The 27525-nt window shown below is 39.5% G+C and overlaps 1 protein-coding gene and 1 long non-coding RNA gene across 10 annotated transcripts in view; one reads left to right on the top strand and one right to left on the bottom strand.

Annotated features, from left to right (window-relative positions):
• CEP85L (centrosomal protein 85L) overlaps positions 1 to 27525 on the top strand; it is a 249318-nt gene that overhangs the window by 17985 nt on the left and 203808 nt on the right. The gene's annotated exons all lie outside the window — the stretch shown is intronic.
• Positions 2511 to 27298, bottom strand: LOC124901388 (uncharacterized). Of its 3 annotated transcripts, none has more exons than XR_007059728.1 (3): positions 26955 to 27298; positions 9434 to 9684; positions 2511 to 9240 (listed from the first exon to the last, which is right to left on the bottom strand). It is a non-coding gene; the product is annotated as an uncharacterized LOC124901388 (long non-coding RNA). The 3 variants fall into 3 exon arrangements; XR_007059726.1 differs by having other exon boundaries at positions 2511 to 9684; positions 26955 to 27154; positions 27247 to 27298; XR_007059727.1 differs by having other exon boundaries at positions 2511 to 9684.

Below are 27525 nucleotides of genomic sequence, written 5' to 3'. Positions count from 1 at the left end.
ATGGGAGCTTCCATACACCTCAGCCTTGTCCCCTCGCCCTGAGTTGCTACCTGAGGGCCTCCCTCCTCTCCAGATAATTGATCCTGGTAATAACGACAAGCTTCATGGAGGAAGAAAAGACATCTCTAGGGACATAGCCGAACCCAAGCAATCCTACTCCAAGTAGACATAGCAAGTATTAGGCATCTTCCAAGTGCAGGTAACAAAAATTTACCTCAAAGTTGCTTAAGAAAAATAAGTCATGTAATTTTGCAAAGAAAAATTCTTTGTCTAAGAAAATGGAAAAGACAGATCTTGTTTGCTTCAGGTGTGGCTGAGCACAGAGGTTTAAATGATGCCTGTCTTTTGTCATTTTTTTTTTTTTTGAGATGGAGTTTTGCTCTTGTTGCCCAGGCTGGAGTGCAGTGGTGCGATCTTGTCTCACTGAAACCTCCGCCTCCGGGGTTCAAGGGATTCTCCTGCCTCACCCTCCCAAGTAGCTGGGATTACAGGCGCCTGCCTGCCACCACGCCTGGCTAATTTTTTGTATTTTTTAGTAGAGACAGGGTTTCTTTCTTTTTTTTTTTTTTTTGAGATGGAGTTTTGTTCTTGTTGCCCAGGCTAGAGTGCAATGCTGCGATCTTGGCTCACTGCAACCTCCGCCTCCTGGGTTAAAGCGATTCTCCTGCCTCAGCCTCCTGAGTAGCTGGGATTACAGGCATGCACCGCCACATCTGGCTAATTTTGTATTTTTAGTAGAGATGGGGGTTTCTCCATGTTGGTCAGGCTGGTCTTGAACTCCCAACCTCAGGTGATCCGCCCGCCTTGGCCTCCCAAAGTGCTGGGATTACAGGCGTGAGCTACCATGCCTGGCCTAGAGATGGGGTTTCATGATGTTGGCCAGGCTGGTCTTGAACTCCTGATCTCAGGTGATCCACCTGCCTTGGCATCTCAAAGTGTCGGGATTACAGGCATGAGCCACCACGCCTGGCCTCCTTTGTCATTTGACAGAGACTTTTACTCCTTGTCTGTCTTTTTCTCTTTTTCAGTCTCTTTTTTTTAAACTGTCTCTCCCTCTTTCTTTTTATCTTTCTCTTTCTTTCTTTCCTTCTTTCTTTTTTTTTTTCCTGAGACAGGGTCTCACTCTGTCACCCAGGTGGGAATGCAGTGGTGTGATAACAATCACTCTAGCCTCTACCTCCCAGGCTCAAGTGATCCTCCTACCTCAGCCTCCCGAGTAGCTGGGACCACAGAGAGTCACCACTATGTCTAGCTAATTTTTTATTATTTTTGGATATGAGGTCTCAATATGTTGCCCAGGCTGGTCTCCAACTCCTGGGCTCAAGCGATCCTCTTGCCTCTGCCTCCCTAATCCCTGGGATTAGAGACATGAGCCACTATGCCAAGCCCTTTCTTTTCTTTCTACTGAGTCAATTTTAAAGAAAAATTCCCCATATTTTGGCAAAAATGGCCACCAGCAGCTTTGGATTTATGTTTAACTAGAGCAATCCCAATGAAAAGAAAAAGATGTAACCTCTCTCCTAATGGTTTCAGCAAAGTTACATAACTGGTTGGGCCAGTGTGGCTCCCTGAACCAATCCTGGAACTGATGGTGGAGTGCGGTGATTGAGCAGTCTGGATGATGGACTCACTCCTGTGGAAGGGACCATAATGTCATGGGATTCAGAGTCCGGCCAGGGAGCAGAGAGGTATTTCCTTAAAGGAAAAGCTTCAGGTCATTCAAAAAGTTAGAGATCCATGTATAATATGGTATTCCCAATATTCATTCTGAAGATTTGGGTATAAAAGAGCAGGAGAGTATTAGAGTTATAGTTAGACATGACAAATTTGATATGGTCTACAAGTCAGACACAGAAGAATGAGGAATCATAAATTACAAGATTGTTTCAGTCATAAGCAAACTGAGGCATTGTATCAATCACCAGAAGTGTAGAAAATGGTCTCCAAAATATTAGGGGAATCTGCATCCTAAATAAGATCAAATGCCAAGACTGCTTCAGGGATAAAGAGTTGCTTTTAAGTAAACTGAGCTACTCAGAAGGAAGGAATCAGGGCCAGGCATGGTGGCTCATGCCTGTAATCCAGCATTTTGGCACACCAAGGCAGGAGGATTGCTTGAGGCCAGGAGTTCCAGACCAGCCTGGGCAACATAGTGGGACCCTAGCCCTATTAAAAAAAAAAAAAAAAAGCAGGCAGGGATTAGCATGTAAAACTATACCTGGGACAAGAACTGCAAATAACTGACTCCACTGAAGGGGGGAAGATAATGTCCTCTTATAAGCAAAACATGTTGTGAAGAGGCAAGAATGCATCACTATTGCAATTCATCTCTTTTTATTAATATTACTAAATGCTTGAATGAACGAATTGTACTCATGAGGCTTCAAACCAAAACAAAATGGTTGGTTCTTCTGCTGGTTGCAGGTTACAATTACCTTAGCTTGGAAACGATAAGGCTGAGTTGGTTTAGTAATGAAGAGGAGATCATATTCACAAGCACTGATCAATTATTTATTTTAGCACTGTAGTCATTAATTTATTGATTTCTCATTCCACAGCAAATCTAATGAAGCAAAAAACTCCTTAAATTTTTTTCCTGCTACATTCTATAGTAAAAAGAATTCCCCATCTCTTCTCATTCCTAACAGACTAGAGATTTTGAGACCATTTTCCTCACAAAACACTTGAAATGACCTATGAACACCTGAAAGGTTGAAGTTTTGAAAACAAGCTAATGGACAATAATTTTCCTTACCAAATAAGAACCATAAAAATTATTGTATGTGAAGTTACATGCAGCACCTTAAAGTAGGAAGTTAAGAACTCAGAATTTAACTTGAAATATTTCAAGCTTAAATTTGAACAATTATTTTACAAATTTTTTTAATGATGTAACTCATAGGCCTAATTTGGCTTCCCCTGAAAGCAGAGGTTGAGACAAAGACTTGGCTGCAGATTGTGTGTAGTGGCGAGGTAATCCCAGAAAACATAAGTAAAGGAACAGGGAGTATGACACAGGAGAAGTCAGTACAAGAAGGTGTTATTCAAGTCTCTGCTGAAGGGAAGAGCGCATCAGTTCTGCTGGGACTACTGGGAAGTGTAAATGTCTTCCAGAGCTTTCCATTTGAAGGAAGTGTGGATGAAGGTGGTTCCCATGTTGGCTGATGGCTGATATTTGCACTGGGGAACATAAACATGGTCCGGAAGTGGTCCACACACATGCCCAATGGCTCTAGGGCATAAGAGAGGCCCAAGGCAGAAAAATGGAATAATTCTTTAGCTGCCTGAGGTGTGATCCTGTCAATGAGGTGAGCCTGAGCTCCTAGGGAACTCTCACTGCAGCTGCAGCTGAAATAGGAGTGGGCCAAAGAAATGGAAAGGAGGCTCCAACGTACCTGCTACATCAAACAGATAGATGTGAGGACCAAATCTGGCCCATGATTTGTCAGTATTAGACTTGTGGTCAGTTGGCTTAGGAATTCACAAACTGATAAGACTGCAAAAGGTTTATTCGAAAATAAATAGATAAATAAAAATATAAATTTACAAACTGAATACATTGCATGATCAAACTGACTTCTCAGAAATTCTAGGGATAAAGTATAGAACTGTAAGAAGAGGTCCAATTTCTGCTTTTCATTTCTGCATTAATTTAACAAATTTAATGAACATTTACCATATGCTAGGTGCTGGAGATACATCAGTGAAAAAGATAAACAAAGTACCTGCCCCACTGAGCTTGCATTCTGTTTGGGAGACAGCAAGCAATAAGTTTCAGACTTTTCAGTTAAAAATAAAACAGAGGACTGGACACTGTGGCTCATGTTTGTAATCCCAGCACTTTGGGAGACCGAGGCATGTGGGTCACCTGAGGTCAGGAGTTCAAGACCAGCCTGGCCAACATGGTGAAAACTGTCTCTACTAAAAATACAAAAATTAGCCGGGTGTGGTGGTGTTACTGGGGGGTCCTTGCGCACAGAGCTCCCAAGATGGTGGCAAGCCGCTTCCAAGATGGCGACGGGCCGCTTCCAAGATGGTGGCAAGCCTTGTATTCTCTGACCTGGGGTTCTTGGCCTCACGGATTCCAAGGAATGGAATCTTGGGCCATGCGGTGAGTGTTATAGCTCTATCAGAAGCCGCAGGTCATGGAAGAGAACTGTGGAATCCAGTGACTAGTGTTCAGCTTGATTAGGATGAACACACGCACTCAGCCGTGCAGGAACAATGGCAAGCCTTTAGCCCGATTGGGAGTGGCAATGGGCACCTCGCTGGATCAGGAGGTGCCCTGCCAGATCTGGAGGGATGGAAGTCAGTCGTGGGTCTGCAACGGCGGCAAACAGCAGTGGTGGACGGCGAGCAAAAGCTCAGCTCGAGCTGTAACAAACACGGACCAGAAGAGTGCAGTTGCAAGATTTAATAGAGTGAAAACAGGGCTCCCATACAAAGGGAGGGGACCCAAAGGGGGTTGCTGTTGCCGGCTCGAATGCCTGGGTTTATATCCCGAGCATTGTCCCTTCCCCTGTGCTCTCAGGCAAGAGATGATTGGCTATTTCTTTACCTCCTGTTGTTGCCTAATTAGCATTTTAGTGAGCTCTCCTTACTATCTGATTGGTTATGTGTGAGCTAAGTTGCAAGCCCCGTGTTTAAAGGTGGAAGCGGTCACCTTCCCAGCTAGGCTTAGGGATTCTTAGTCAGCCTAGGAAATCCAGCTAGTCCTGTCTCTCAGTGGCAGGTGCCTGTAATTCCAGCTACTTGGGAGGCTGAGGCAGGAGAATCACTTGAACCTGGGAGGCGGAGGTTGCAGTGAGCTGAGATCACGCCATTGCACTCCAGCCTGGGTGACAAGAGTGAAACTCTGTCTCAAGAAAAACAAAGGTAGTATTGTGAGAGATATGGCTGCTGTTTTAGATAGGGCAGCCATCAAAAGCTTCTCTACATGAATGACATTTGAGGGGAGACCTGGATGAGAAGGATTGAGTCAAATGAATATTAGGGAAAAGTATTCCAGGCAAATGGAACAGACTATGTATGAGCCCTGAGGTCAGAATAAGCTTTTATATTTGAGGAGCAACAAGATCAATATGAGTGAAGTTGAGAGTAAGAGAAGTGGTTACGAGATAAAGTGAAACATGTCAGCTGAGGTCAGATGAGGTAGAGTCCTGTGGCTATGGAAAGGCATGTAGGCTTCATTCTCAGTATGATGGGAAACCTCTGGGAAATTTTAATCAGGTGAGATGTGATCTGATTTTCTGTTTTAAAAAGTCCATTCTGGTTGCCATGTGGAGAGTGTGTATGTGAAGTTTTGGATCCTAGAATTGTAGAACACAACAGGCCTAAATATTTGTCTTTTCCATGAGCAGGTGGATCTCTTAGTTACGTTTTGCTTGAAATGCACGTAGGTGTCCACACAAAGACCTCAACACACAAGTGTTCTTGGCAGAATTACTTATAATAGCCAAAAGGTGGAAATAACTCAAATGACCATCAGCTAGTGAATGGAAAAACAAAATGTGTTTATCTTCAAGCAGAATAGAAAGCCATTTAATAATAAAAATAAATATTGACACATGCTACAACATGGATAGCATCAAAAACATGCTAAGAGAAAGAATACAGACACAGAAGACCACACATTGCATGATTCTATTTATATAAAATATCTAGAAAAAGAAAATCTATATATGGAGAAAGCAGATTAGTGATTGCCTGGGACTGGGAGTGAGAACAAAGAGTAAGTGTAATGAAGCAGGAGAGATTTTACTGGAGTGAGAGAAATGTTCTAAAACTGGTTTGTGGTGATGGTTGCACAACAGTACATCCAAAAATCATTGAACTGTACAATTAAAACAGGTGAATTTAAAGGTATTTAAATGATACGTCAATAAAGTTGTTTCTAAAAAAAAAAAAACATGTGTTGCTACATTTAGAACATATATCTTCCGAGCACATGGACCCTCCATCTCCACAGACCTTGATTTTACCTGAAGTTACTCCTCCAACCCACGTTTCCCTTGGTCAAGAGAGCACCAGGCTGCGCTGGCCTTTCATGGTCACCCAGTGGCCCACTTTGGGAATGAATCGAGTTCCTTTCTTTCTCAACATTGTTTCCTCTGGGGAGATCATACACATTCCAAGCATTCCCCATTTCCCCTATTTTCAGAACTCTCAGGTTGCTTGGTTCTTCCTTAAGCAATGTTTTTATCATCTTTAACCCGTGCACTTTTTCGTCTCACTTTTGTAACTATTGCCAACTGTTTCAAGAACATTTTTTACTACCTTTTTCCTCCTTTTTCTCCTTTCTTCCTCTCTTTTCCACCTCCATTTTTTCCACTGTCATCCCTCATTCTTTCTTTATGTTTGTTCCATTTGTGACCCCTAAAAATAACTATAATGATGGGAGAACAGGATTGGGGGCATATTAGTATCAAGTGAAAGGAAAGTCTAAGTTGTGCTTTGTCTATCAATTTCTAAAGTGTCAAAAAGTTCTTCTCAAGAACATCCTCAAAATTTCCTTCTACTCACTGTTGTTTATTTCATGAAAAATAAAAATCTTGTTGTTGTATTTTTAAAGTTTGTTTACTTGTACTAAATAATCACATTTTAAAATTATTTTTCATTGTGAGCTAGAATATTTGATTACAAAAAGTATTTTATTTATATCAACGTAAATACTTTTGTTGGCTGACCCAGTAAAAGGAACACTATACATCACATTATTTCTATAAAGAAAAAAATATCTGAAATCCAAGAAATAATGGTTAGAGTTTATTTCTGGTTTATTAACTGGAGGCTGTCATTACTTAACTTTAAAACAAGGTACTTAAAATAGTATCTGTACATCTTACTAAGTGCTATACTATTCTTGTTCCATTGGTCAACTTCTTATGTTGTTTTATTGCAATTATTTATATTCTTTATATTCTTATATTCTTAAAAACAAAAGGACAATTACAGATACAACTAAGTAAAGCTAAATTTCCCTTTTAGTTGAACAGAAGACAGGTTCTTCATTTTCTTCATCTGCCTTTCACATGAAGTGTATAATGCTGGGAATAATTAGTATATTAATAGTCTTTACCGTCAGGGTTCATTTCTTGGTTATAAAAATGTAAGAGAATGAGATTCTAAGTTCCTTTAAAATTCAGCTTAAAGGGGCCAGGCGCGGTGCTTCACACCTGTAATCCCAGCACTTTGGGAGGCCGAGGTGGGAGGATCACTTGAGCCCAGCAGTTCAGGACCAGCCTGGGCAACATAGTGAGATCTTGTCTCTAAAAAAAAATAATAATAAAAAATAAAATTTAGCTTAAAGAAAACAACCAGGACTGCAGATCAAAATGCCTTGTTATGTGAGATTACAAGATCATGGGTTACTATTACATCTTGTCTTAAGAGAGAAGGATGTACACCCACATGCCACGACAGACTGCATTCAAGGGTGTAAAGAAACTGTTCAGCCCCATCAGGAGCGGTGAAAAAAGAAGCAACGCTGAGCTTTCATTTCCTGCAGGTCACTAATAATTTATGAGATATTTATGAGATTTCTTTGCAGTGTCAAAATATCTGTAAACCTTTTTTTCTTTCTTTCTTTCTTTTTTAGAAACAGGTCGGGCTCTGTTGCCTAGGCCTGAGTGAAGTGATGTGATCATAGCTCATTGTAACCTTGAACTCCTGGTTATAGGAGGATTGCTCAAGCCATCCTCCCAGTTCAGCCTCCCTAGTAATTAACAGGCATGCGCCACCATGCCCAGCCAATGCTTTAAATTTTTTGTAGAGCTCGGGTCTTGCTATGTTGCTCCAGCTGGTCTTTAAGCTTTATACATTTTTGTTAGGCCACAATAATGAAAACTAAGATCATAAACAGCAAAGATGCCATGTAAACGTAGGGGGGTGTTTTCTAATGTAACCTAGGGGAGAGTTATCTCGCCAGAAAGGGTTATGTTTAATGTTTTGATTTTTAATCGCTATTTTTTAAATAGGTTGCCAGAGAAATGGGTGTGAGTTTGTTTTAGCTTTGGCCTCCACTTCCTGTGTAACTTATTTGGGATGGATGTTTAGTATAGATATGAAATCATTGGGGAAAACCAAACAAAGAGAAAATATTATCATTGAAAAGTTACACATTAATTTTCCACATAGTTTTTTGAAAGAAAAGTCAGTTTGGCAAGGCAAAAAGAGACTCTGGCAAAATGAGCAACTCTGTGTCCTGCATCTAGGCTACCAGAAAAAAAGGCCCAGTCTTTGAAATGATCTTCTTCAGAGGCAAGCATGCCATGACCCAACAAATGTCTCTTTACCCCACAGGTTGAAGTTTGCAAGAAGCAGCTGAGTAAGCTCAGGGCTTTTACAGAGTTGATCATGTTTTTGATTCCTGCCCTTTAATTAACTATATGCTTTACAAAACTAGGTAGCTGTAGTAGACATATTACATCCAGCTGTTAATCACTTCTTAGTAAGAAAAAGTACTGGAATCTACAGATGGACATTGATCTGTTACCTATGTTGACAAGAACATTATGGTCTTTGTCAAACCACACTGCGAATGCACTAGGATGCTGCACTGATTTTCCATCATTACTGCTGGAGTTGGGAAAGGAGAAGGAAGATTCGTTGTAGTTTGCCATAGGGAATGTTACCCTCCTTTCCCTCTAGGCCAAATGACTCCTTACAATGCAGCCAATAAAAAGCAAAAAGAATAAGTTTTTATATAAAAATGTTTATGGTTCATATCTTTCCATATAAACATTCAATGTGGGGGAAGAAAACCTCACCAGCTTGGCAAAAAAGAGATTAGATTCTCCCCCAAAGATTGGTTTGGAAGTCTCCCCAAAAGAAAGCTGTCTGATGAAATCACTGCCATCTTAAGTGGTAAAAACACAATGCACTACATTAAAACATAGTTATTAGGTTTTTATAATCATAGTATAAGAGCCCTCAAAATTATCTTGTCTGGAATCTCTAGAAAAATACACACCTTTGTGATTTAGGACCAACTGCTACTTAGAGGCTACCAGGAATAACTACTCCACAACTTCTCTTAATAATAACTCCATGGTTTCAACTTCTTTCATTGTTATGCCTGATAAAAACTTGTCTTCCTTCTAATTCAGGCCATATCTCCTGGTTTGGCATTGTTCTGGTGCCTTTGTCCTCACTGTGGTTATTACGACCCAGGAACTTCAAGAAAGACATAAACTTCTAGATCCAAGCTCTAGACACATTTCCATATTGGGGCTGTGAACTCTAAAAATAACATTTTATTACTAAGTACATGAGCAAAAATTTAGAGCAAGGTAAAAGTGTGTGTGTGTGTGTGTGTGTGTGTGTGTGTGTGTGCATGCTCAGGCATGCATGCATATTTCAGGGGTGCAAGGGCTTTTTTTTTTTCTTCCAGTTTGAAGCTTTAGGGCATAATATTATTTGAAGCTTCACTTACCTCTACCTGAAGCATAAACCAAGAAAATGTGAACAACTCAACAGTGGAGGGGTTCCTTGTGCTCTTTGGGTAACAAGCCACTTGTTTCCTTTTTCCACAGTGAAGCATTCCTTCTTTAAAACATTTTGCTGCAATTAAACTGTGTACCCCTGGAGGTGAAACTTGTGTCTCACCTGTAGACAGCCTGTGTTTCTGAATCGCAGCATCTAGTATAATCCACTCGGGTACTTAAATAAAGTACCAAAACATAACTAATGAATAAAAGAAAGCAATGAATTAGTAAGCCTGTATTTATAAACTGCTGCCACTACAAAATGTAAGACCTTATTTAATAAAATCAGTTTATGATATTTAGCTTGAAAGAACAGCTACTTCCTTTTAGAATATCCAAAACCTTGGAGACACCATACTTTATTTTTCTTTGATTGTTTTTCTAAGACTAATAATTTTAAAGTGAATTTTAATGTAGATGAAAATATGTTAAAACAGTATAATGATATTTAAGTGCAATACAGGCTTTATATTTCTAATTACATATGGAAAAAATGGTCTGAACATGAGGTGGCCTGTAAGTAAGAAATATTATGATTAGAAGTAATTATAACAGGCTGGGTGCGGTGGCTCACGCCTGTAATCCCAGCACTGTAATCCCAGGCTCACGCCTGTAATCCCACCCAGCCACAGCAGGTGGATCACCTGAGGTCAGGAGTTTGAGACCAGCCTGGCAACATGGCGAAACCCCGTCTCTACTAAAAATACAAAAAAATTAGCCAAGCATGGTGGCATGCCTGTAATTCCAGCTACTCGGGAGGCTGAGGCAGGAGAATCACTTGAACCCAGGAGGTGGAGGTTGCAGATTGTGCCACTGCACTCCAGCCTGGGCAACAGAGCGAGACTCTGTCTCAAAAAAAAAAAAAAAAAAAGAAATAATTATAATAGAATAATAATTAAGGTAAAATAGATCTATTTATAATGAATTAAATTTTTCTAAACCCTCACTGGGGATATTCTTAAAACTCTATCCCCAAATATACCAGTGACATTGCAGGAAAATTTCGAGGGAAGTCCAAAATACTATTTTTAAAAATTACAAAAATTTTAAAATTCATTAGGAAAAAAATAGAGGAACTTCAGATATTTTGAAATCTGTTAAGTGTTCTTCAAAATTAACATGAGGTCTGCTTACTATTAATAATGAACATGTTGAAAAAATCGTCTGAATATGAGGTTATTGAGGTTTTTTTCATTCCAGATCTCTGCTAATTAGTATCAGGGATAATTACATCTCTCTCTCTAGTTCTTCTAGGGAACTACTTCTCAACTCCTCTCTCCCTTATGATTCTATATATGAGCCAGAGAATACCTCAGCACAGAATGCTCTAAATGTAAACACAACACAATTTCCTGTAAAAAACAAACAAACAAAACCTGTGGCTCTGTTTATTGTAATGTCTTCTCATTTGACTTATATAAATCCACATCTTTTAATTTTAGGAATTGCATTCAAAGTTTTAAGGTCAAAAACTGTACTTTTCTATGTTGAATTACTGGTAAAAAGCTGGCAATCAAGTGAAAGTTCTTTATGGACTAGACTGAAAAGCTCTTGTGTACTGTCAACCCAGTATTCATTTCTCAAAGCAAATGTCACACGCACAATAGTTCTGTTGTGGATTCAAAACCAAGTTCCGTTTCAGCAATAGTAGCGCAGCAGTAAACTCCTCCTCGTTGTCAGGCCCTGTGGCTATCTGGTTTTAGTCAGGCACTTTAGAGTCATCTCAGAGTGTCTTTTTTTTTTTGACACAAGGTCTCACTGTGTCGCCCAGGCTGGAGTGCAGAGGCATGATCTTGGCTCACTGCAGCCTCGACCTCCTGGGCTCAAGTGATCCCCAACCTCAGCCTCCGGAGTAGCAGAGGACACACAGGTGTGTGCCACCAAACCAGTTAATTTTTGTATTTTTGTAGAGGCAGGGTTTTGCCATGTTGCCCAGGCCGGTCTCCAACTCCTGGGCTGAAGCTATCAGCCTGCCTCAGCCTTCCAAAAAGCTGGGATTATAGGCGTGAGCCACTGTGCCCTGCCCAGAATGTCTTTATTAGCTGTGTTAGATCATTAGTTACAGAAACCCAGCTGGTTAGAAATAAATTGCTTTCCTGCTTACCTGCCACCTAGTTCTGAGTACACATGTCAGTCCTACAATCCCACCTAATATCTGATGCATAAACTAAAATGATAGTCAAGGTTGTTCACTGGTTGGAATTTTGAGGGATTATTTTTGAACTTTTCTATATTTTTGAAATATGTTAACAGATTTTTTTTTTTAATAAGAAGAAAATAAACTTTGTCAAAAAAAAAAAAAAAAAAAAAAAAGCAACACCAAGGAAAGATTCTTTTTTTTTTTTTTTCCCCAGGCTGGAGTGTAGTGGTATGACCAGGGCTCACTGCAACTTTGTCCTCCTGGGCTCAAGTGATCCTCTCACCTCAGCCTCCCAAGTAGCTGGGACTACAGGCTCATGCCACCATGCCCAGAATACTTTTAAATTTTTTTTTGGAGCTGGGGTGGGGGTCTCACTGTGTTGCCCAGGCTGGTCTCAAATTCCTGGCCTCAAGTGATTCTCCTGCGTTGGCCTCCAAAAATGCTAGGATTACAGGCATGAGACACTGTACCCTGCCATCTTTTTTTTTTTTAATGCCAATGAAATTTCTAATCTGATTTCCTGGCTTCCTGGCAGAGAAGGAAGCCACTTCAAAAATAATTCTACTTTTTTATTAGAAATATAGAAACACCCTCTTTTTCTGCAAGGATGAAAATGTCATTCATATCTCCTCCCACTCAGTTCCATTGTAGTTAAAAAAAAATGTGATTTCAAAATGTGTAAAAGAGGAGGAGGCAAACTGGTGGTTTGCAGGCCATGTCAGGCCCAAACACTTGTTCTGTTTGGTGACCACATTATTTAAAAACTGAAATTGAATGCCCCTCAAGTGGGCCCTTTGTTTCCTATAGGCCCACCGAACATTTAGACATTTAGGTACTCTTCCTGGCCCCTGAAGGCATTTGATTTTGACACCCTTACACTAGCATTGCATAAGTAGACTGGGACACTACATGACTAAGACATGTTAGGCAAAGTTACAACTATGCTAATATCATCATTCTGCTCTTCAATTTGCATGTGGAAAAAACTAACTTCAGGAATAAGGAATTATAGCAAATCCAGTGTCCACAGTCACATGCCTCTTGTATAAACTAACAATTTTCTCCCATATAACTCCTTTCCTTTTAGTTCATTCTGCACATTACTTCCTGGTTAGTAATCCTAGAGCCTAACCTTTAATCACATATTTATTGTTCATTCTTTTTTTCTTCATCTTGTGCCAGGTCTCTTTAGGTGCTAAGAACACAAAATAGATGAGGCTCAAGGTCTCATATCTCCTGAAAATAATCAGACATGTAAATTAAAAATAATAGGAGTATAATAGTTGGTACAAAATGAGTTCTCAGGAAACAGAGAATGAAGATTGTGACTGTGCCTGGGGAAAGTTTTCCAAAGGTAACAATTGAATTGACTTTTGAAAGAGAAGTAGATATTCAGCTGATGACTAAGTCAAAGGCATTCTAGCACACCCAAAGCATGGCCTCAAAGAAAGGCTTGGAAAATTCAGGAAACCTCAAGTAGTTTGGTTTTACTAGAGCAACAGGGAGTAAAGAGTGGGGAGAAAGGAAATATGCATTCATTCATTTAATATTTTCTTAGTCTCACTCTGTTGCCAGGCTGGAGTGCAGTAGCACGATCTGGGCTCACTGGAACCTCCACCTCCCGGGTTCAAGAGATTCTCCTGGCTCAGCCTCCCAAGTAGCTGGGACTGCAGGCACCTGCCACCATGCCCAGAAAATTTTTGTATTTTTAGTAGAGATGGGGTTTCGCCATGTTGGCCAGGATGGTCTCGATCTCTTGACCTCATGATCTGCCAGCCTCAGCCTCTCAAAGTGCTTAATGTTTTATTTTATAAATTGTTTAATGCTGCAAGCATTGAGGATAAAGCAATGATTTATATAGTAGCAGCATTTGTTGCACAGAGTTCACAGTCTAGTGAAGAATACAGAAAAGTAAAGAGGCAATAAAATAGAGTTCAGTAAATGGTATGATAAAGTAAATGCAGAGAGTCAAGGAAGTACAGAGGAGGATGTGTAGAGGTAGACAAATATACGGTGGCTGGTGGATTTTCTGATGTGCTGCTGAGATCTGCCTTTGGGAATGAAGGACTTATTCTCCCAGTTTCTGACAATGATGCCAGAAGACAACCCTCAAATTGTAGCATTACCCAAGTCTTTCTTCCTTCCAAAGACATCTTGCATCCAATGCATGACCAGTGTGTTTTACAAAGCCGTGGCTCCCACTTGATCCAACTTGGAACAATTCTGAGCAGCCAGTCCAGTTCCAGAGCTACCCAACGGGTGGGCTGAGCAACCTTTATTGGGGCTGGATCATAGCTCAACTTCTCCTTTTACCTAATTCTGTTTCCTTCTCCATTTTTCTACAGATGTTGATCCATTGGGAACTCCCTAATAAATATCCTGTTTCAGAATTTTCTTCCCTGTACAAATTATGAAGTGTCCTTGAATGCCATTCTGAGTAACCTGGATTTTGTGCTATAAACAACTAAAGCCAGGGAAGGCTTTTAGCAGGGAAATAGCTTGATCATAAATGTAAATTAGAAGGGTGCAAAATTGAAGACAAGATTATTGAAGAGGATGTTATGGTAGTCCAACCAAGAAACATTTATAACCTAAATAAATCCATCCACAGTGGGGTAGAGAGAAAGAGATGAATGTAAGATGTATTTATGGGCAATATTGGCAGGACACACTTGGTGATTGACTATAGGTGGTGGGCATGGTAAAATCATGGAAGTCTCCTAGTTCTTTGGCTTGGGGAAAGGGATACATCTTGGTATCACTAATCAAGATAGAAAATACAGGAGAAGAAGAAGGATCATTAATGAATATGATAAGTTCACTTTTGTACCTGTTGAGTTTGAAGTAAATTCAATACAGTAAAAATGCTGGTAATACTTGGTAGACAGTGGAAAACATGTATTGGGAGATCAGGATGAAGGTCAATGCTAGAGATATAGGGTTGGGAATCATCAGAATCTGTAGTAGTTAAATACACAGATGTGAATGAGCTCAGTTTCACTGTTCTGCGCTAAAATTGTCAGATCTCCATACTGCTTACCTAAGCAATTCCCAACTCCTCCAACTGGCAGCCAGACAAAATAATGACACTTCAGGACTACGGACAGTGTCAGGACTGCTTGTACAGCTCGCCCCCTTCTCACGTCACCCTCAAAATTTTAGTTCTGGTAGATAAGGACTTCCTTATTATCTTCTGCTGTCTAGCTTTCTTGCCTTACTTTCTATCTGTCTCCTGGCTCATATCTTTTGATTAAGGAATTGTGTTAAAGTCATCTAGTTCAAGCTTTTCCTTTCATTTTTTTTAAGCAGATGAGGAACTTGAGTCCCAAAGAGGTGAAATGATTTGCCCAAAGCTACATTAGTGATAAGTAACAGAGCTGGGACCCTGATTTCCAGGATCATACCTTAATGTTCTACTGTAATACAACATGAAGTAGACTCCATAATTTTCTAGGCAACAAGTTGAAGCTAACAGGCATTTGTCAAAAGAAGACATACATATCGTCAACAGAGAAATGAAAAAAAATGCTCAGTATCTCTAATCGTTAGGAAAATGCAAATTCAAAACACAATGAGATATCGTCTTACACCGGTTAGAATGGCTATCATTTAAAAAAAGACAAAAGATAACAAGGGTTGACAAGGGCGTAGAGAAAAGGAAACCCTGGTACACTGTTGATGAGAATGTAAATTAGCATTACCATTATGGAAAATAATATGGAGGCTTATGAAAAAACTAAAAACAGAATCATCATATAATCCAGCCATCCCACTTTTGGGTATATATCCAAAGGACTTGAAATCTATATGTCAAAGAGATATCTGCACTTCAATGTTCATTGTAGCACTATTCACAATAGTAAAGATACGGAAGTAACTGAAGTGTCAGTGGGTGAATGAATAATGAAAATGTGGTATATAAGCATGATGGAATACCATACAGCCTTAAGAAAGAAGGAAATTCTGTCATTGCAACAATATGCAGGTTTATACCTGGAGGACATTATGCTAAGTAAAATAAGCCAGGCACAGAAAGACAAATATTGCATGAAGTCAATGATAATGTGGAATCTAAAAAAAGTTAAACTAATGGAAGCAGAAAGTGGAACGGTGCTTACCAACGGCTAGAGAGGGGATGAGGGTAGGGTTGGGAAAAGGAGAGATGTTGGTCAAAGGGTACATAGTTTCAGTTAGATAGGAGGAATAAATTTCAGTAATCTAAGTAGATTTTAAATGTTCTCACCATAGAAGAATGTTAAGTAGGTGAGGTGATGGCTTTACTAATTACTTTGATTTAATCATTCCACCATGTATACATAGATCAAAACATGATAATGTGCCCATAAATATATACAATTATTATTTGTCAGTTAAAAATAGACATTTCAAGCTGACTAATAATAGTAAAAAAAATAGTAATAACGACAATAACAATAGTAATACAATACAATCAAAAAACAACTCTTCACCTGATTGGATCTTAACTTGGCTTGATCTTCTTTGGGAAATTAGAAATAATTATCTCTTTTATTATTGTTCATTCTCTTTGAAATCTTTTATCAGATATTCTAGATCCATCATCGTCTTCCATTAATACATCATCTTTTCTCTCATTTTATTCACTCCTTTATCACTTTTCTCTGAATTCTTCAAATTCACTGATTTGATTTTTGTCACTTTCCAATTTTGCTCTTTACTGCTTCCATTTCATTTTTTTCTTTTAGAGACAGGGTCTTACTGGGTTGCCTTGGGGTCTCGCTATGTTGTCCAGGCCGATTTTGAATTCTGGTCTCAAGCAGTCCTCCCACTTCAGCCTCCCAAAGCACTGGGTTTACAAGGGTTAGCCACTGTGCCCAGCTTCCATGTCATTTTTTTTTTTTAATTCTAGCAATCTTATTTTTATTTCAAAAGGAATCTTTTCTAATCTTAAATTGTTCCTATTTTAAAATGTAATTTTTAAATGATTGATAGTTTTTTAAGATACCATAAAATTTACACTTTTAAAGTGCACAGTCTAGCGGTTTTTAATGGTTGTACCTTTTTGGAGTTGTGCAACCATCAACATTATCTAATTTCAGAACATTTTCATCATCCACAAAGGAAACCCCATAGTCATTAGCAATCACTCCCTATTGCCCCCTCCCTCAACCCCTGGCAATCACTAATCTACTGTTTCTATGAATTTGCCTATATATATAGACAATATATATAATATAAAGTGTATATATTTTATGTGGAATCATAAAATATGTGGTTTTTGTGTCGGGATTCTTTCACTTAGTATAATGTTTTCAAAGTTCATCCATGTTGTAGCATGTAACAGCACTCCATTTTTATTGCTGAATAATATGCCCTTGTATGTGAGTGCATGTGTGGGTGTGTGTGTAACACTTTGTTTATCCATTTATGAGTTGACAGACATTTGAGTTATTTCTATTTTTGGGCTATTATGAATAATGTTGGTATGAATGTTTGTATATAGGTTATTGTGTAAACATGTTATTTCTCTTGGGTAAATACCTGGGAGTAGAATTGCTAAGTCATATGGTAAGTCTGTGTTTAACTTTCTGAGGAACTGCCAAATTGTTTTTCCAAAGTAGCTGCATCATTTTACATTTCCACCAGCAGTGTATGAGGATTCCAATTTCTCCACATCCTCGTCAATGCCTTTTATGTCTTTTTTAAAAATGATAGCCTTTCTACAGGATGTGACATGGTGTCTCATTATGGTTATGATTTGCATTTCTCTAATAACTAATAATGTTGAGCATCATTTCACTTGCTTTATGGTCATGCGTATATCTTCTTTGGAGCAATGTCTATTCAGATAGCTTTAAAATCAGATTGTCTTTTTGTTGTTGAGTTGTAAAAGTCCTGGATACAAATCCCTTATCAGTTATTTGATTTGCAAATATTTTCTCTCATTCTGTTGGTTTTCTCTCTTTTTTTTTTTTTTGAGATGGAGTCTTACCCTGCCGCCCAGGCTGGAGTACAGTGGCGCAATCTCGGCTCACTACAATGTCCACCTCCTGGGTTCAAGCAATTCTCCTGCTTCAGCCTCCCAAGTAGCTGGGATTACAGGCACCTGTCACCATGCCCAGCTAATTTTTTTATTTTTAGTAGAGACAGTGTTTCACCATGTTGGCCAGGCTGGTCTCGAACTCCTGATCTTGTGATCCACCCGCCTTGGCCTCCCAAAGTGCTGGGATTACAGGCGTGAGCCACCATGCCCAGCCCACTGGTTTTCTCTTCACTTTCTTGAGGTTTTCTTTGAAGCACAAATATTCATAATTTTTATGAAGTACAATTTATTTAAGTACAATCTCTTTGTTTCTATTGTTATCCGTGTTTTTGGTGTCATATCTAAGAAACCACTGCCTTTTCCAAGGTCAAAAATATTTATGCCCCTGTTCTCTAGTAAGAATTTTATAGTTTTAGCTCTTACAATTAGGCCTATGATCAATTTAGTGTTAAATTTTGCATATGGTGTGCATATGGTGTAATGTTCTTTTGAATCTTGTTGGTAACTCAGCATCTTTCTAGATTTTTTAAGATTTAGAGATTTTTCTAAAGATTTTTGTTTTATTTTGTTTTGGTTTTATTATTAACTCTTTCACGAGTGGGGTCATTTAAGTTTATTCCTCTGGTTAATTTCCTTTTTTACATTACAACTAAGTCTTTTAATCTAGAAGATGGTTCATTGGTTTGTTTATTCTGATGATTGTGTTTATGTCCATGGGTGGAGTTCACAGTTAATTTCAGAATTGTTTGGGGGTCCTGTTGAAATATTAGATACAGTCAATGGGAGAAAGGAAATTTCAAGATTTACCAGAGTTACTTTAATAAATCGGCATTCCAAGTGTCTGTGGGAGTAGGGCAGAGGTGGTAGGGCCCACAGACCTCACCATTGTGCCAAAGAATTTCTCACTGGTTTCTGAGATACTACTCAGTACGCTGTCTATATGAAGGGCAAGCTGGGATGCCATGAGATATTGCCTTGTGTAGACTCTATCTTTACTGGACTTTCTACAGTTGCTGGTGGGACTGGTATTTGCCCCTCTCTGACTTCCCTATATGGCACATTTGCCTGTAAACATAGAACACTTTACTGGAAATCTTCTAAATTTCACAGCAAGTGCCAATTCATATTTTCATATCCCTTTGGATATTCAATGGTAGTTAAAACATGTAAACTCAGATGAATATCTTGAATCAGAACCATTCTTTCAGCTTCTGATTTGGCTCTGTTTCTATTGATTATTCTTTGCTTTTATCTAGTGACCCTGACTAGTTCAAGTTTCTATTTTCCTCATCTTTAACTCTTATTTTGTGTTTATGCTGGTGTTTCCTATACTTGTCCTGCCCCCAACCTTGGCAACTAATCTCTTGATGTATTAGAGCACTGCACTAGAACCAGGAGGCCAGATCATGCTTCTGTTGCAGGTTGCTAGTCCTTCCACATTGCCTCCCTCATCTTTCTTCATCATTCTTGCAGTGAACCTCAATTACACCCAAGGAAACCAAGTTGTCTTTGTAATGTAGACACATGGGAGCTCCTCCTCCTCCTCCCTCCTCCTCTTCTTTCTCTTCTTCTTCGTTGTCATTGTCTTCTCTTTTCTTCTTCTTCTTCCTCCTCCTCTTCCTCCTCCTCCTCTTCCTCCTCCTTCTCCTTCCTCCTCCTTCCTCCTCCTTCTTCTTTCTTCTTTCTTCTTCTGAGACAGGATCTCACTTTGTTGCCCAGGTTGGAGTGCAGAGACACGATCTCAGCTCACTGCAACCTCTGCTTCCCAGGCTCAAGTGATTCTCCTGTCTCAGCTTCCTGAGTAGCTGAGATTACAGGTGTGTGCCACCATGCCCAGCTAAGTTTTGCATTTTTTGTAGAAATGAAGTCTCACCATGTTGCCCAGGCTGGTCTCGAACTGCTGGGCTCAGTGATCCACCTGTCTCAGCCTCCCAGAGTGCTGGGATTACAGATGTGAGCCACAATGGCTGGCCATGGGGCATCTTAAAGATTCAAGTATCTTATTTATTAATATCTTTATATCGTCCATAACAGCTAGCACCATCTGAGTACATAGTCAATATTCAACAAATATTAAAAAAAATTAACTTTAATAATTAAAAGAATAATATAATATATCAAGCCTGGCGCAGTGGCTCACGCCTGCAATCCCAGCATTTTGGGAGGCCAAGGTGGGCAGATCACTTGAGGCCAGGAGTTCGAGACTTGCCTGGCCAACGTGGCAAAACCCCATCTCTACTAAAAAATATGAAAATTAGCTAGGCCTGGTGGCATGCACCTGTAATCACAGCTACTCAGGAGGCTGAGGCAGGAGAATCGCTTGAGCCCAGGAAGGAGAGGTTGCAGTGAGCTGAGATCGCACCACTGCACTACAACCTGGGCAACAGATGAAACCCTGTCTCAAAACAAAAACAAAACAAAAAAAGAGAATAATACGTCAAATTATTTGTAAAGAAAAACCTTCCTCCCTATTTCAAACAGCTTGAAGAAAGACAATTTTTGTCCTTTTATTTATTTTTGGGGGATAGAGTCTCGCTCTTTCGCCCAGGCTGGAGTTCAGTGGCACCATCTCAGCTCACTGCAACATCCACCTCTGTGTTCAAGCAATTATCGTGCTTCAGCCTCCCAAGCAGCTGGGATCACAAGCACAGGCCACCATGCCTAACTGATTTTTGTATTTTTAGTAGAGACGGGGTTTCACCATGTTGGCCAGGCTGGTGTCGAACTCCTGACCTCAAGTGATCCACCCTCCTCAGCCTCCCAAAGTGCTGGAATTATAAACATGAACCACCATGCCCAGCTTGTCTTTACATTTATTTTGATGATGAATTCGAAATGGTACCAATGTATATCAGTGCTTTATTCACAACACTGACCTGGAGATATTTCAGAATAGAGAAACGCCAGATCCTTAGTAAGTTTCAACAACAAAAGGGTTGAGGGGTCACTGATAAAATTTTATTTCTCTCTTCATTTTACTAACGGAAATTAATTTTTTTTATTAACAGTAGTGCTTTATGTATTCTCAGTTCTGCTCCCAAAAGGATTTAAGGTGGCTGACATAAATGTATATGATAAAATAATACTTAATACTTAACATAATAACGATAACAATTTACAAGGAATGCAGAAAAAGAGAAAATAAGTGTAGAAAAAAGAAAATAATACAAGGAGGGGAAGTTGCTAAACAAAACGTATGCTGCAAAGTCACTTACATCCACTTGCTTATGTAGGGCCACATATTTGGCTCTGAATTTTCCAGGCAATTCAAGAGGGCTCACAACCAGATAGAGATCCACTGTCCATAAGATTCAAACAAACCAATTGCTTACGATAACATAGTTTCTCCAGTTGCTGAAACCAGAGAGCAATTTCTCCAAAAGTTTGCCACAAAGACTACACTGTAAGTTACAGTGACCACCATCCTTACAGCCAACACAGTACAATTTCACAGGAATCGTTTCTCAATATAGCTAAAAACACAGTGTTTTTTTTTTTTTACATAAAAAAGTTCAGTACACTAATTTCTAGTTTTGCAGTATCCTCAGCACCAAAAGTCGTCCTGCTGATGGTGCTAATCAGGAGAACATTTCCATGGTCAAGCTAAGATGCCTAGATGATTTCAGTTTAGTTCAACAGCTCAATAAAATTTTAAGGTCAGTAGGCATATTGTTGGATAGAATATATGAAAAAAGTTCAGCAGAGATTTTTGTGTTTCTGCTGCAATAGTACCACATAACCAAACACAAATTTTAGAAGCTTAAAACAAAACTGTCTATTTTTCTTGTTCAAGGTTTTGGTCAGTTTAACATCCCCTTTCCTCATTCTTGAACCAGTGGCTAGCCAGGAGATTACAGAAGCAAAAGAAATAAAGCCACTTTTAAAGCCTCTGCTTAGTGCGACAATGAAGCAAACTAATACAGGAACAGAAAACCAAATACCACATGTTCTCACTTATAAGTGGGAGCTAAACATGGAGTACACGTGGCCACAAAGAAGGGAACAACAACAACAACAACAAAAGGAAACACAAAGAAGAGAAAACAGACACCAGGGCCTACTTGAGGGTGGAGGGTGGAAGAAGGGTGAGGATCGAAAAACTATCTATCAGGTACTATGCCTACTACCTGGATGACAAAATAATCCTTACTCCAAACCCCCATGACATGCAGTTTATCTATATAACAAACCTGCACTCGTACCCCTGAACCTAAAATAAAAGTTAAAAAAAAAAAAAAGCCTCTGCTTGCATCACATCTACTAACTTCAGTCAAAGCAAGTCACACGGGCAAGCCCCATATGAAGTAGGTGGGGAAATGCTACATATATTCTGCCCGTTCTGATAGAAGGTACTGCCAAGCCACTTGACAAATGCTTTGTAATTCTATCGCAGGGAGAGAGGGAAGAATTGGGAATAATTCAGTTACCACATCCATAATTCTATTTGCGACTTCCCTTTACTCTTTGGTTCCCATTCAGTACCTCGAAGATACAAAGTTGGAGGTCATCTAGTATGATCCTTTCCTCTTACACATGAGTTATCTGGGGCCCAGAGAGCTTATGGGACTTGCCTAAGATCACACAGTCAATTCAGCGCTCTACCACATTGAACCAAATGGTTGTAACTCTAACTTTCCTCTCTATCATCTGCCTCCAAACCCCAACTCCACAGGGAATTACAGGGGTTTAGTTCATGAGATAAATATATGAGTGAGGCCCTGAACTCCAGTCTCCAGAGGTAATAGCCTAGATTCACTGTGGATATGAAAGGTTTTAGTAGTGCAATGAGAGGAGACCATAAATTCTAGGTTCTGACTTGGAGAAATTGGTTTTTCACAAAGTGACTGGTGTGTGTGGAGGGAGGGCAAATTTCTAATGAAAATATTTATAGACCCTAGTGGTTATTTAAAAGTAGGTAATATTTCCAGAAGGAAATGTTTAGTTTGTTTCCCAGTTGCTTTCCATTGTCTCCATGCTTCATCTAACAAAGAATCAAATGTAAGGAAGGGCAAGGGGGTGGGTAGTTGGAACAACAACGGAATACTGCCAGAGATGAAGGAAAGATATAAAATGTGGCCTTTTCAAGTTGACATTTGTTTTTTAAGTTTCCCTAATGCCCTCTATAAGGTAAATCACCAGAGGCTGTGTGTTTGGCTTACTCCTCAAAAGCAGATCTGAGTTGGTAAGCAACTGAAACGCATCAGAGGATGGTTTGTTTTGAGAGAAGGGAACAGCTGTTCCTCCTGGAGTCCCTGACAGACATGGAGCCCTATCTGTTACCTCTGTGTTCCTAGATGGTATTGCTTACAGCCCTTTTTGTGTTCTGTTTACTGTTCCAATTCTGTAGGTCAGCTTGACTGGATATTCTATATATTTTTAGAGACACTTATTGCTAACATAGTTTTTGTTATCAATGTCTTAAGTCAGAAAGTTTCTTTAACATTTCTTGGTTTTACTCCCAGTTTGTTTACTTCTGCAAATCAGCTCTCTGGCAAGAAACTTGAGTCCTGCAGATGATATTATCTTGGAGGAATGTAGGGCCAGGCTACAGGGTAGCTTTTCTGAGAATAAATGATCTGACCACACTTAATAAACAAAGCCAGATAAGAAGCAGCCATTCAACATGAAAACAAAGAGCAATAATTTAGATATATAGCTTTAAAATAGAAACACAGGAAAACATACAAAATATGTTTTAAAATAATTATTTCCCATCTTAATTTTGTTCTGTTCCCTTTATTTTAGCCTTGAACAGACAGTCCCCACATTTTCAACTATGATTTCATTTTTAACAACAAAATTTCACAGAGTTGCACATAATAGTGTTTGTACTTTTAGTAAAAGTTGACTGAAAGTACATAAGGATAAACACATTGCTAGGAATTCAGTAATGCTTTTTGCCCAGGCTGGACTTGAACCCCTGGGCTCAAGTGATCCTCCCACCTCAGCCTTCCGAGTAGCAAGTAGTGGGGACTGTAGGCACACAGTACCACATCTGGCTTCAGTAATGCTTTTAATTGAAGGCATACTTTATTAAACAAAAGAGCATCTCTATCCATTTGAAGTCTGGGTGTATATATCAGTGCAACCCACCTTATTCAGGTAAGCATACCTTATGGGACTTCAGGTCCCTTTGTAATAATTTTAAAACTCTGCAGGTGTCCATGGCTCATAGGTTGATATCTAAACTTTGCCTTTCATCATTTATGCCTGTCAACTTTGGGAGCTGTCCTATTTAATTACATCATTGCTCTCCTGCCTGCACAAGCACTGCATATTCTTACCAGTTGGCTTGAACAGTATATAATATAATGGTTAGAGCTCTGTCTTCCTAAAAGTCAGAAGATTGGAATTTTGGATTGTTTTGTTGTTGTTATCTACTAATACATTTCTTTAAAGAAGTCAACGGCTTTGAGACTGTTTTGCTTTTTGCAAAATTGAGGAGAGGGCTGGGGAGATATTTGCTCAGCCCAACTCATGGATTATTATGAGGAACATAGTAGATTATGTAGCACTTAATCATATATACAGTAAATAGTCCTCAGTCAGTATTTTTGCAGAACCATTTGGAACTGAATTCTCAGCTTTTGCAGTACTACAAAGACATAGTTCACCCAGATTTACACTGGCCTGTGTGCCATGCTCTCCAGACACACAGTGGGTAGTAGATAGAAAGGGGGAGATCTGTGCATTGGACTGGGCTGGGAGTAATGACCTAGGTTTACGATTTATCTCTGCCATTTCAGTGAGTCATTTCATCTCTCTAGGCCTTAGTCCCTTGTGAATAGAGAAATGAATGAAAATCTCAGAGGTGTTCACATTTTGCAAAAGGGCTCTTTTTTCTTCTTCCTAAATGAAATTAAATTGCAAAACTCCAATATATAAATCAGATATCCAAAAAATGCAGTTTTCACATGCAGTTTAAAATGTTCATTTATTGCAAATGAGGCCCTAGGAGCACAGTTTGAAAACCACTGATTTAGTTCATGTCTAAGATCCAGCTTTACATTAAGATGCCCATTTATTAAAGTGAGATATGTTTCTGCCCAAATATTGCTAGTTGTCACCTACATGGGACTTCTTGCCTTGATAGTCTTGTCCACTCAGGAAATCAAACCTTAGAGCAGCACTTAGAGTGTAAAAAAAATCAAAGCAAGTTCTATATTCTTAAGGAATAGTTCCCTCAAGCAATGGTGACCCAATTTAATGCCCTTCTTCATGTTAGTAATTTTTTTCTCTAAAGAACTGGGCCACGAAATCTAGAATCTCAGCACCATCCCGTATAGTATAGGAAGAAACACTAATCATAATTCTAACATTTGGAGCCACTCCAGGACTGAGTCTGGACCCGAAGGATCCCTCTTTCTTCACTTGGTGCCTAACAGTACCTGACATATAGAGGACACTCAATAAGTCTTGAATGACTGACTGACTAAATGGATTGAGTGAATTTGTGGCAACTAATTAAGCAAGAAAAGACTGAATTACCTGATTGGTTTTGAAAGCAGCCATTATAAAGTTTATAATTAAGTTTGTCACTGAGCAAATCTAGTCTATACCTTCAGACCCCAACAATGCCCATGTACTCTCAGGGTTTTTAGAAATTTTGAGTTTCCAAACCATGCTGGGGTCATTTTCAGGGAGCAGACTGAACTCTCACACAGTAGCTGCCCCTGTTTCCTTTTTTTTTTTTAACTTAATCCCAAATGTGATAATAAGCTGCCCTTATTTTCAGCCACTGAAAGAATGTCAGGGAGCTGGATCTTGAGGCTGGTAGAGAGTAGCAGTTAATGATGAGAAGCACAGACACTGACTACCTGGGCTCTAATCCTGACCTTTCCATGTGTTAGCTGCCACTATGGGTAGTTATCTCTGTTTCTATAAAGTGGGGTATTAACTAATGTGAGGATTGAATGAGCTAATGCCCCTGAAGCTCTTAGAACAGAGCCAGACATGTTGTAAACATTCAATAGGTATTGACTCTCATGTATTCATCCTGGTATAGTGGAAAGAGCATAAGTATTGAGTTAGTCAAGCCAGGCTTTTAATTCAGGCTCTGACCCTTTTTTGGGGGCAGTCATTTAATTTCACTAAACTTGTTTTTTCATCTTGTGTAAATGCTATTTAAAATTGTAGCAGACTATAGCTTTCTGATTTCTAGGACTCTTAAGTTTAGGAAAACACCTGTATAGGTCCGCTTTGGATATGAAGGAGGAAGCCCCAGGCAGAGAACTAAAATGCTTTGCATAATAAAACAATAATTTTGAGCATCCTGGAGTTTGAGATGAAAGCACCAACCCTAGGAAAGAGAGAAGTCCAGCAAAGTAGCCAGGAATCTGGGGCTCTATTTGGGGATACAGTTTTAATATCCAATATTAAGTTGTTACTTGGCACCAGAGTGGAACATTCCTTACCTTTTACCAAAAGTTAAATAAATGTTTGTTAACCAAGCAATCATATGTGGGTGATAACTTTGGGGAGTGAAGAAATTGGGGTGATGCGCCAAGTATTCGGCAAGGCTATATAGCAAAAGGGAACACAAACACCAGGGGGATGTAAAGGAGACATGGAGAATTTGGCCTGTGTAGGAAAACAGAATGTGAGGCAAGGAAGGGAAACCTGGAGATGTGGAGAGGAACAGAGAATTTCTCACCAGTGTGTGAGATGGCAATCAGGCACTTTTATTTTACACTAATCTTAGAGGATAAGAAAACTAGAGTCTGTTGAAGAACCTGAGTACCCTGGCATTTGAATTATAAGCTGGGCAGGATTCTTATGATCATTAAAGTTAAGGGATGTGGCCCGGCGCAATGGCTCACACCTGTAATTCCAGCACTTTGGGAGGCCTAGGAGGGAGGATTGCTTGAGCCCAGGCATTTGAGACCAGCGTGGGCAACGTGGCAAAACCCCATCTCTATAAAAAACACAAAAAGTAGCCAGGCGTGGTGGCACACACCTGTAGTCCCAGCTACTTGGGAGGCTGAGGTAGGAGAATCATCTGAGCCTGGGAAGTTGAGGCTGCAGTGAACTGAGATTGAGCCACTGCAATCCAGCCTGCGCATCCAGCAAAACCCTATCTAAAATAAAATAAAATAATAAAATAAAATAAAATAAATAAAATTGAATGGTTGTAAACTTCTAGCACAAGTAATCATTTGATAAATGACACACCTATCATCTTGTTGATTCATGTATTACTCACTGAATATGTTTCTAGCCCAAGGAAGCTGGGCAAAGAACAGCTGGTACACATGGGGGCAGTGGAGCATACAGGTTCCCACTCATCTTACCTGTGGCTGAGACTTACCTACCGTCCCTCCTCTTACTCCCCACATCTCTGTCTCCAGCATTTTTCTCCTCTCTGCACAAAGAAAGCATACTCCCTGAAGGAACAAAATGGGCTTCCAGGAGTACTAGGGCTACGTTTCTGGAGGAGCACAGGCAGGCTTGTGTGATGTGTGATGGTAAAGGATTTCTTCAAAATCATGTTCATGCCTTAGAGAATGCCTGGAGAATATAAGTTTTTAAATTATTTCGTTAATCAACTCACTGAAGGTAAGAGAGACAAGTAGTGTCCTAAAAACATGCAGTTATTTTACCTGTAATCCATTTTCCAGTAAGTGACTACCGAGATAGCTGGAGCACAAGAATAGGTAATGGCTTTGTTTTCCCAAGATGTGGTCACTGCGATTATTTTTAGATGAAAGATTTGGAGCCAGAAGCACAACTCATAATTATGTTGCTATGATTCTACAACCAGTTGTTCTGTGGAATTAATTCAACTGTGAAAACTTTAAAGTTACCACATTTTCTGAAAACCCAGAAAAACTGAAAGTAAAATATTCCGTGACACACAGTGCTGTTTCCTGAGAACATCT

This window comes from Homo sapiens, chromosome 6 (assembly GCF_000001405.40).
Source record: "Homo sapiens chromosome 6, GRCh38.p14 Primary Assembly".
Taxonomy (NCBI): Eukaryota; Metazoa; Chordata; class Mammalia; order Primates; family Hominidae; genus Homo; species Homo sapiens.
Note: the sequence above shows the minus strand (reverse complement) of the source record. Positions and strands in the feature narration are given on the sequence as shown.